The sequence below is a fragment of the Homo sapiens genome, chromosome 5 (assembly GCF_000001405.40).
Source record: "Homo sapiens chromosome 5, GRCh38.p14 Primary Assembly".
Classification (NCBI taxonomy): domain Eukaryota; kingdom Metazoa; phylum Chordata; class Mammalia; order Primates; family Hominidae; genus Homo; species Homo sapiens.
In genome coordinates, this window is record NC_000005.10 from 39,481,723 (window position 1) to 39,494,529 (window position 12,807).

Consider the following 12,807-nt stretch of genomic DNA (forward strand, 5'->3'; position numbering starts at 1 on the left):
CTTGTGTCTCCTCGGAGCAGGAAAAAGATCTGGCACTCATCATAACTAAACAATAAAGCTGTGTCATTTAAAACAGCAAGCTTGCTCTTAGGACACATAAATAGACATAAAACGGCAGCAGTCAAAGTGGTCTGATGACCACTGGTGGGCCTTAAGGATTCTCCAGGTGGTCTTTTAGCTGGCCTCTTGTAACGCTAGCATTTACATACAACCACATTTATGCTGTCTTTGTAGTTTAGAATGAATCAGTTTATGGCCCTCATTAATGTCTGTTTAAAAACAGCATGTCTCAATAATTTTGGTTAGAATATGTGGTCTATGATGTTCTGTGTCATATGGAAATGATCTGTGGGTCACATATACTTATGAAACTCTGGAATCACATATCTAGGCCCTTTAAGTCATAAGTTAACATTTATTGCATGCACAATATGTGGCAGAGATTGCCCATTCTCCTAGTTCCCTAGAAATCAGTGAGGCAGCTGTGGGCTCTTTGCCTAGAAATACACCTCTCTTGGGGGCTGAAAGTCAGCCTTGGGCATGTCCAATGAAACAAAAGAAATCTGCTTGCAGAGAGAAACTAAGAATGGAAAGAAGCAGGTGCACAGAGAGAATGAAAGAAAATGAGGGTTTAGCCCAGCGGAGCTGAGACTGGGCCACTGCATTCCAGCCTGGGTGACAGAGTGAGACTCCATCTCAATTAAAAATAATAATAATAATAATTAAATTAAATTAAAAAAAAAGAAAATGAGAGTTTAGAAAAGAGAGAGGGGACAGATGAGCTGCTTTGGCTTTTGGTGACTTTGCCCTCCCTGGTTTTGGCTCAAGTGCCAAACCTTGAAGAACCCAAGGTTTATGTCCTTGGGTTCTAAGGAATGGTCCTCCCACTTTCACTAGATTACTTTTCTCTTGCTCTTTCCATTTGATTAGCCAGAGTAAGAGAATGTCTGTTTTTTGCAATTCAATTTCTGTCTACACTAGAAGGATCAGGAAGGTGGACTTTAATTTTTTTAAATCTTATATTCTTTAGAATGTTTCAAATATTTCTCAGAAAGCATGCATTTGTTTACTACTTAGAAGAAAAAATTTTTAAATGCTATCTAAAATTGATTGTGGACACAATTCTAAAGCCTTACATATATTTACTCATTTATCCTAATTTTTTAAAAGTACTGGGTTTAGTGCTATTATTCACCCTCCAACTCCCCCACCCCCAATTTTGTACCTGAGAAAACTGAGGCACATGGAAATTTTCAGGGTTATGCAATTAGTAAGTGATGGAGTCAGAATTTAATTTTAAGTCATCTGACTCTAGAGCCCATATTCAACAGAGACTTTGTACTGACTTGATTCTCTAAGGATTTCATATTTGGAGAAAAAAACCAGCAATATAGAAACGAACAACCAAACAAAAAAAAAATCCCCAAAGAACAACAACAAAAAAATTACAAAGCAAAATAAAAAACAAAACAACTACAGAAATGTATAAATCTACCATAATCAGCACTGGGTTCTGGAAAGTCTGTGCAGACTGTAGCTGGTAATTGAGAACAATAATGTTATACTTTCGCAGGTCCATTTGGACACAAGACTGTGTTCAAACGCTTACATCTAAATGTAACCCTGATATCACTCTAACTTTGTTACATCAAAATGTCTTGGGAGCAGTCTTCTAGGACTCCACGAACTGCTTGGAAATGAGCAGCATTTCAATACCCATAAGAGGGATTTATGTCACTGGCAAAGGCAAAAAATGGAATGCAATGGAGGTCTGAACATGATCCCTGGGCAAATAGGAATGTCCAGTCAAGGGCTGCCTGAATGTGAAGGCCCATTAGGTGGTGAGGCCTTCAATTGTGCTCCATAGCTTCACTAGGAAAGACTGGCACCAGTGCAGAATTTATTGTGGGGCTTGTTCATTCTTTGGGGTTCTCCTGTATCCCCTGGACTTCTCAGGTGTCTAGTTATTCACATATGCCAGTTCTCTAGTTTAATGTTCTAGAAAGGGTTTTAAAGAGTAATCTAGGAACTTAGAAGCATCTACCTGTGCTGTTGCGAGGAATTCCTGGACCTAGATGTCCATTTTCTCATTCATGCATGAGTAGCAGAACAAAACATCAAGGGGTCCATTAAAAAGCTTCCATAGTACGGACAAGAGCATTTCAATAAAGGTGCTGTGGGAAATACAGGCATTTGCAGAAATGAAATTTAACTTTACAAATGTCTGCTTGGATTCTTATTGAAAATCAGGAACACATAAACTCCAGGAACTAAGAGATTAAACATGAGATAATAAAACAGCAGACTGAGGTTTACAAACACACACAAACACACACACTTCTCTGGCTTGGAGGCAGGCAGAAAAAAATAGAGAACTGTAAATGTGATAGAGAAAGGATAAGATAAAAACCAAACTGTGATCATAGGATTACACTTGTGTTAGAAGAATAACTAGTGCAATTGAAACTGGAAAATAAATGAAGTGAGTTGGAGGACACAGTTGAAATGTATTCCAGAATCTAAAGGAGTGAAGAGACAGAAATGATTTCAGAAAAGATTAGATATTACAGACATAGGAGGCATCTCCAGATAGGAATAATGTCTGTCCCTGAGGAAGAGATCAGAGTAAATGAGAGGAAACAATAACAAATATAATAGAATAAAAAGTGCTGAAAAAACAGCCATTTTTATTCTCAGTTTCTTGTAACCTACTTTTACAAGAAACCTCAGTTTCTTGTAAAACAAATTGTTTGCCTGTCTTATCCAGTTTCTTGTAAAACAAATTCAGAGACCAATTTTTTAAAAGAGTGTCTCTTGTTTCTATAGCTCAGGATTCATTCCCTTTCTCTAATTCTTCTCAGCTAGAAACTGGGATGACCTCTTAATAGGATTAAGGGTGGGAGTTAGGTAAAAATAGAAACATAGAGGTGAGCTCTTGGACATGCTTTCGCTCCAGGAAACTAAAAAGGAATATAATCTACATATAAAATAGGTGGGTCACCGTGTATTTGTAACTATATTAATAATCTCAGCATAAAAATTAACCAGAAGCTTCCATTTAGTTAAGTGAAGAGTAAAGGCCATAGATTCAAAGGAGTGAGTGTGCATACAGCCCTGAGTCCACTGCTGACTAAATGCACAGTACACATTTCCATTTATCTTCTCTTTGTCTCATTTTCTTCCCCTGTTAAACTGGAAGACAACTAATAACTGTCTAACCTACTGCAAAATGGCAATATGAGCATGGGAATAAAACCATACAAATAAAATTTCATGCAAATGTAGATGTTATTGGGGGCACAGGGACCATGATGTCAAATCTGGTAACTGGACTGCATCCCTCAAGCTGAAAGAGTCACACCAGCTGGTTTTCTAAGGGCAACTTAGCTTTAAAAGTGAGATCTCTGCTTTGCAGATAAAACAATTCTCACTTGTGAAGAAAGAAGCATACACTAGCCCAAGCATTTGCAATTTTGCAGTTCCCGGACACAGCAGATAAAAATCATTAAACATGCATCAATCATGTGGAATAATAGAAACAATCACAATAGCTGAAAGTTATGGTAGGAGCCATGCCTCCTGCTTTGAAAATAAACTTGTCAGCTTTGCTTCATCATTTATCTTCTGTAATGTTTTCCCTTTGCTTAATCAGCATTCACATGCCATCGGGAGACTATTATCTTGGAATAAATATGTCCCTTGAGAAATTCTCTTCATTGGACTCTAATATTTTATACTTACAGGAGCACTTCATAGAAAAACTCAATACAAGAACAGAAAAATAATGTAATAGAGAATGTGTCTTTAGGCTATGCTCAAAAGTTCCCTAGAAGATTCTTAGAATAATCCCATGGAAGCAAAGTTGCAGGGAAGAAAGACAGACAAGCTATTGCCTTGCTGGGTTTCAGAATACTGGCTCTACTTCTAAGGAATTCGTTATTGGAACTCCACGTCTTCATGGATGTATTAATACTTCCAAAGAGTTTTAACTCTTGACCATGACCGAGGGAAGGCAGTGGTTGGTATACCAGTCTCAGAAAATAACTCTACTCATCAGGGTCAAGACTAGGGCAATGCCAGTGAGTAACTTGCTTCAGGAGCAAAATTTACAATATACAGCAGTGCTGAATAACCTCAGTAATTAAGATAAATGATATTTGAATGCAATATTTTTAAAAATAAAAATTATTGCAAAAATCCCATGATGAACAAAATCTGGAGGGGGTCTAAAGTAGTCACTGTATCAAAAGTTTGAATAAAGACAAGATCAGAACATGATTTTATGCAGCTGAAATGAGATCCCAAGGAACACAAGGACAGTCTAGAAGGGAATTTAAAGGTAGAAAAGGATAGAACAAGATGAGTGTGCTGAAGAGGGCAGGAAAACACTTCTCAGTAAGTGACAGTGAGAGTGTGCTCACATTGATTATTGGCAGGTGCACCACGGGAATTTTTTTTTTTTTTAATCCCTGAGTAGACAGACTATCTTTCTGCTCCAGCCAGGCTACTTTCCTGAACCACTGCCCCATTATGAACCAGTCCCTTTTAAAGCCTAGACTTTGGGAGGAGGCGGCGGGGGCACCTAGCTCCCTCTGCCTTCAAAGCAACTTATACATATTTATTTTGAACTTGCAATGCACCCTCCTCTTTGAGGGAGCAGGTGGATATTTAAGTAGATGTTCACCCAGAAGGCTGAATGTTTATTCTAGAAGAAGCAGCAGTCCTTAGCCACACTTTCCCCAATCCCTGATACATAGATTCCAGCCAGTGAGTGTGGGTGGAGCAATGTTCCTCTTGAGAGGGTACAGTGAGCTCTTCTGGGGGCAGCTCCACTGCCACATGTGTGGTTGCTGGCTATGCCTCAGGCTGTTTCAATAATATATGGGTGGCACAATGCCATACCCAGCGGGTCAGCTGCCAGGTCATGGGGTGTGGGGAGCCATTCTCCCACCCACTCTCAACCTAAAACAGTTAGGATTGCTCTGGGCATTCATTTCCTCCCCTTCCCTCAAAGCAGGAGGAACATTGAGAAGAATATTATTAGTTAAAAAAAATAGATTTTAAGCTGAAACATGAATAGAAAATTCAATAGTCTTCAACATTCTATTGTCCTCTGAAAGTAAATGGCAGGGGTTTATTTTTTATTTATTTTTTTCTGTTAAATTCAGGCGTGGGTTATATGGCTTTCTGGGTAGGCAGTTTATTCTTTGGTTAAGGCTTAGCTTTAGTTTATAGTTTGTATCTTAGTACTGGAATATGTACATGTGCTCTTGAATTAACATCTACTCTAAATATCCTACTAGACCAAAAGGTTTATGACCAAACTCAGTGACAAGAAGAGCCACAGTGAAAGACCAGTCAGCTTTTCAGCAGCTGATGGATAGTGGTAAAATGTAGAATTTGTAACTGGTCCCTTTGCCAGAGGAATAGCTGTGCTGGCCCTCTCATGTGCTAGAAGAATCGACTGCCTCCAAGCATTCATCGAGGCAGCAACCCTGAACATACAGTAACTGCAGCTCCTTTTATCACTCTTCTGTTTTCCTTAAACATAAGGCAATAGATCTGAAGACTGAACAACCCTTTATGGTAGGTTGGGGAAAATAATTAATAATCTTGGTCTAGGAAGGGCTGATGGCAGTCACTGTTCATCACTCCATGTCTGGGATATGTTCTAAGAGCCAACTTGGAACTCTGCTCATCAAAGAAGCTTTCCTGATGGATATTTCATGTGGCATTTTTATACTGCATTGTATTCCAGTTACTTATGAATATGGCAACTGTATAAATACATGTATGTGAATTTCTAGGGGGAATCACTGCATTGTATTCATGTTGGAATTCCTTGCATAGTACCTTGAATATAGTGTTTGCTAAAAGTGTGTTGAATGAACAAACAAATGAATAAGACTACAAAGTTTTATGAATTCAAAATGAATTGGTCAGCATGTCTTTAGGCAGGTACTTTTTTTTTTTTTTTTTTTTAAATTAGGACTTGTGGCTCCCTGATGATCCCCTATGGGCTGATGCTAGCTGGCTTCAAAGAAATCACCTCTGACCTTCGCCAGAGTCCTCTCCTTGACGAATCTGATTTGAGAATTGATTGAAGGGACAGCCAAAATTTTGCATTTTTACAAAAAGATAACCAAATGCCTGATACCCTGTTTTGTTTGTGATTCCCTAGCATGTCTGGCCTGGTATTAAAAACATCCAAACAAAATAATAACCATAAAAGCTACTACTTATGGGTTACTACATACTCAACACTGTTTTGATGGTTTTGCATGTTTTAAATCACTGAATCTTGACAATCACTTGATAAGGTAGAATATTTTTCCTATTCCACAGGTGAGGAAACAGAGGCATGGAAATATAATTTGTATACAGGAGCTGAGATTTGACTCAGAAGGTCTAGCTCAAGTTGTAGTAGTCAGCTATTACACTTGCTGTCCTTTCACTTAGCTTTAGAAGATAGTGGTCTGAGCCTATATTTCACTTTCTCGTCACTCAATATCCTATTGAAATAACTTTTAAAAAATAAGAATGAACTAGATAAAGAGACTTCTGGAATGGCAGTAGAAGGAGCTCTGCAGAACTGTTTCACAGCAAAACAGACACAGCAGGTGAAAATTATACATATTATATTATACACATATAACCATAGCAGGTAAAAATTATATATAATATTATATATTTGGAATATATAATATTATTGTAATGTATTGTAATATAATATAAAATATATTATATATAATATATTTATTGCTATATATTATATATTATATATAATATACTATATATAATAATATATAAACATATTATTGGAATATAATATATAATATATTGGAATATAATATATAATATGTTATATTGGAATATAATATAATATATAATATGTTATATGTTATATAACATATAACATATAATATAATATATTATATATAATGCATAATACATAATATATAATATAATATAACATATAACATATTATAATATATTATTCTATAATATAATATATATATTATATTATAAATAATACATATTATATTATATTATATTATATACAATGTATATTATATTATAAATTATATAATATATACTATAGTATATATTATATTATAGATTATATACTATAGTATATATTATATTATCGATAATATAATATATACTATAGTATATATTATATAATTTATTATATAATATATTATATAATTTATTATATAATATATTATATAATTTATTATATAATATATTATATAATTAGAATATATAATTAATTTAGTCATTATTGTTTATATATTTATATATTATATAATTATATATTACAATATATTACATTTTATATAATAAATTAATATTATATAATATATTATATATAAATAATAATTAAATTTATCATATATTATATAAATATATAAAATATAATTATACAACATATAAATATATATTATATAAAATATAAAATTATTCCCTCAAAGCAGGAGGAAGGTATACTAATAAAATATAATATATCATATTATATTATATTAATATATAATATATTATATAAAATTATATATAATATATAACATATATTGTATATATATATAACTCCAACCACTTAAACTCCAGAAATTGTCTTAGTGGCATACAGAAAAACCTAAAAGAAAAAAAACACTCAAGAAAATCTACTGAATTAATGAGAACAGTGAGAGTCTGTGGCACTTAAGCTATGGCTCTCAAGCTATAGCTCTCTTCTTCTACCCCCCTACCTCAGCTTGAGACAGGCTCTACTGCAGGTGGATTTGGCCAAGAAGAAGGGATCTCTCTCCTCTCGCCTCTCACCAAGGATATGGTGTCTCACCAGAGTGGGAGGCCTCCAGCATTTCTCAGCTCCCCTTCTCCATGCCCTCCAAACAACTCCAGGTTGTACAGATCAAATTCCCACCAAGTGCAGCTGAGTGGTTGGGAGCTCCCTTCCTCCACCCACTTGCCATTTGTCGGTGGAGTCCTTACTTCAAATCAGTTAAGCTGGGAATAATGGGACCCTAATTGCCCTCACCCAGCTCTCTTGTTGAGTTGAGATTCCACATGAGAGGAGGCAAATCAAATATCTGGAGACTACTGTCTCACCCAGAATCCTGTTCATAAAGCAAGGATGTCACTCTGAGAGAAGTGGGCCACAGTTCCTGCCCTCAAGTCAGAGCAGGGGCCCAGAGATCTTGCCCAAGGAGAGAAGTCAATAGAAACAGAGAGGTTTGAATCTCTCCACAAATGAACTGACGTTATTTGCAACAGAGTGTGGGAAAGCTCAAATTTAACTACCAAAAACGATGGAAATTTTGGTGGTAGGCTGTTAAGAGGCAGCTGATAGTTTAATGAGAACAGTAAGCTAAACTATAGGCCAGATAGTTTACCAGAGAGGAGCACGAAAAGAGACAGCTATGAAGAATTCTTCTGGAAACAGAACAAACTTCAAAGCATGGCCTCAAAAACTACCCTTGCAAAGGAACCCAAATCTTAATTGTTTGAGAGTGTGGAATACTTTATGTCATAGGGTATTATTTAAAACAATAAAGCAGAATACAAAGTCTTCTAAAGTGTACATGAAACATTTTTCAGGATAGACCATATTCTTAGTCACAAAAGAAGTCTCAATAAATTTAAAAGGATTGAAATATACAGAATACAATTTCCAACTACAATAAAGTGAAATTAGAAATCAACAAGAAAAGAATTTGTGAAATTCACAAATATGTAGTAATTAAATAACATATTCCTAAATAACCAATGGGTCAAAGAATACACCATAATAGAAAGTAGAAAATATTTTGGAAAGAATGAAATGAAGAAAAAAACATATTAAAACTTATGGGATGCAGCCAAAGCCCTACTTAGAGGAAAATTTATATCTGCGAGCAGCTATATTAAAAAAAGGAAAAAGAAATCAAATTAGTAAGTTAAATTTCTACCATAAGACACTTGAAAAATAACTGCAAGCTAAATCTGAAGCAAGCTGAAAGAAATAATAAAGATTATAGCTAAAATAATAAAATAGAGAGTTTCAAGACAATAAAGATAACTTAAAACAATTTGGTTCTTTGAAAAACTCAACAAAATTGAAAAATCTTTAGACTGATCAACCAACTAACCTTAAGTTCATAAAAATCAGGAAATCCAGAATGAAAGGGAGAATATGCATGCTCACCTTACAAAAATAAAAGGAAATATAGGAAATAGTAGGAACAACTGTGTATCAACAAATTATATAACTTAGATCAAATCAACAAATTCTAGGAAAGACACAAACTACTGAAACTGACTCAAAAAATAGAAAATTTAAATCACCCTATAACCTATAAAGATTAAATTTATGATTAAAAATGTTTCTTTATCCCCTTCACAATATCCCAGTATTTTATGGTTTCACTGGTAAATCTTATGACACATTTAAGAATAATTAATATCAGTTCTTCAAAAACTCTTCCTAAATACTGAAAATGATGGCACACTCTCCAACTAATTTTATGAGGCCAGTATTATTTTAGTACCAAAATCAGATAAAGATATCACAAGAAAAATACAGATCAATATCCTTTATGAATATAGAAAAAAAATATGCCAGACTGAATCCAGCAACATGTGAAAAGATGACACACCATGACCAAATGGGATTCATTATAGGAATGCAAGGTTAGTTTAACATCAGAAAAATGAATATAATTTACTGTGTCAATAGAATTGTCCTTTGTTACAGGACAAAAGCAACCTGATTATCTCCATAAATGTGGAAGAAGATTTTGCCAAAATCCAAAATGTCTTCGTGATAATATTTAACAAACTAAGAATAGAAGGGAAATTTTTCAGCCTGATAAAGGGCATCTACAAAAAACTCACAGCTAATATCATACTTAAAGTGAAAGATTGAATGCTTTCCCCTAATACTAAAAGCAAAAGAAAGATGTCTACTCTTACCACTTATATTGAACATTGTACTGGAAGTTCTACCCAGGGCAATTAGGCAAGAAACTGAAAATAAAAGACATCCAGATTAGAAAGGAAAAAGTAAAACTATCTCTGTTTCAAGATGACATGTTCCTGTATTTAGAAAATTGTAGGGAATCCATTGCAAATCTTTTAGAACTAATAATCTAGTTAAGTACTTCCAATAGACAAAAATCAACTGTAGTTTCATACACTTGAAATGAGAAATCCAAAATAGATATTTAAAATAGCTTCTCTAACAATAGTATCAAAGAAATAAAATACTTAGGTATAAATTTACAAAAGAAGTACAAAACTTATACTCTAAAAACTATAAAATCTTGTTGAAATAAGAACACCTAAATAAATGGAAAAGCATCCCAAGTTCATGAATCAGAAAGCCTAATATTATTAATATTGTAATACTCCCCCAATTGATCTATAGATTTAATGCAATTGTATCAAAATCCCAGATGGTTTCTGTGAAAGTAGATGAAGTGGTCATAAAATTTACATTGAAATATAAGACAGCAAGATAGCCAAAATAATCTTGAAAAAGAGTATAGTTAGATGGCTCACATTTTCCAGTTTCAAAGCTTACTACAAAGCTACAGCAATCAAGACTGTGTGATACTGGCATAAACATTGACTGTATGATCTTAAACATAGATCAATGAAATAGAGTTGGGATTCCTTCACGTTTACTGTCAATTGATTTTTGCCAAGAATGCCAGGCAATCCAATGGAGGAAAGAAGAGTCTTTTTGTCATATAATGTTGGGACGATTGGATATCTGCTTGCAAAAGAATAAAGTTGGACTCCTATCTCACACAATACACAAAATTGCATAATGGGTCAAAGACCTAAGTGTAAGGTCTAAAACTACAAAATTCTTATAAGAAAACATGTATGTATGTATTTTTGAGCTTTGATTAGGCAACGGTTTCTTAAATATGATGCCAAAAACATAAGCCACAAAGATAAAGATAAATTAGACTTCCAAATTGAAAACTTTTGTGCTTGATGTTTTTTACCATCAAGAAAATGAAAAGACAAATAGCACAATTGTTCTTAATGTACTTACAAAGAAATGCATCTTGAAACTAGATACTTTTTTTTCCCAACTAGAACAAAAATGTTTTAATAGTGAGAAAATTTAGACTCAGTGATAGTGTGGGAATATATTCTCTGTTGCTTTTTTTTTACAAAGTAGTTTGGCAGTGTGTATCAAAATTTTAAATGTTCCTTTCTTTATATTCAGAAAGTCTACCTCTACTAATACACCATATCAAAATACAAAAATACACAAAGGTTAAAGAATAAGGATGACTACTGAAGAATCATTTACTATACCAAATAAATGAAAACAACCCAAAAGCTTATCAATAGGGAAGACACTTAATAACGACTGGTATAGTCATTATGTATAGGATGACTGTTTTCTTATTTCTATAGGAGTGAAGTAAATCTGCATACATTAACGTGGAAAGTTGTTCATGCTAGATAAAGACAAGGGAAAAAATTATAATACATGACAATATGTATAAATATAATATCTTATGGTTTAATAAACATAAAACAAGGCTTTTGTGCCCATTATTTCTCAGGAAACACCTAAACATTACTAATTAGATAAATACTTGCTGCAATTATCATAGCTTATGATATAGATTAGTACCCATAAGGGAAATAACTTTATCCCAAGTGAAAATACATGGAATTTGAATATTTGCCTTTTTGATGTTTGATTTAGGGCACAGTTTTGAAGTTACTCTTTGTTTATGCCATCATGACTTCAAACATATACTCCAAAATTGGTGAATATTTATTTAGTCAATTTCATGTAATACAGTAATGCATTAATAGAAATGTAATTCAAATTATATATATGCATATATAATTGCCTGGAAATATATATGTCAAACAATTTTCAGTGGTTACTCAGAGTACAAATTGAAAAAAAAAAAGAAGAATTAAAGGGGGCATACTTTATCTTTTCTTCTCTAATCTTCTATGTTTGAATTTAACACTGGAATTTAATATTTTTATAACTAAAAATAAAGAAAATGTTCAGTTAAATATGTGTTAAAGAAAATTAAACTTAAAGAATAAAAATATTACTACATTTAGAAAATGCTTTTTTTATATAAAGTAGTTTTGCTTACTCTTTACATTTTTTACTTTTTTCTTTTTCTATTCCTGGAACACTCAAAAATTGGCCACTTCCTTGAACTCAGTTTTTCTCTCTATAGATTTCTTTCTTAAGTATTGCTGAGACAGACTAGGTTAAACTTCTAATGTTTAAAAGTTCCCCATCTTGAAGTCTCTGATGCCTTGTTTTCTGTCTTTTTATTAGGATTACATCTCATTTATGTCCCACTTTTAGTACTCACTTTTCATTATTCTCTTGGTTTGACTGACTGTTTGTGCCAAACAGCATAACCCATTATTAAGAGTCTAGAGTATCCAAGTTTTGAGACTTGCACAGAGCGTTTTCAGTATCACTTACTGTTTTATGTGTATGCTTGTCAAAAGCAATTATGCCTGATTCAGCAAAATTCAATGCTTTCTAACAAATGATCAGGAGGGTAAACAACTCATTTACATGGGGAGGTTTATATTTTCAGAATTGCCTCAAGGGAACCTTTCCAAGAGGCCAGAAAGGAATTCAGCAAAAAGGAAACAGCAGGAGGATCCTGTATTTCTCTGCGATTCAGCAGTGTTGGTTGCCAATACCAACATCATAACATTTCAGAGCTCAATTTTCCATATTTTGAAACTTCTTACAGGGATTTCATCAAGCAAGTCAATCGACTATCAAACCCAACTGTGTCTGTTAGTTGCTGA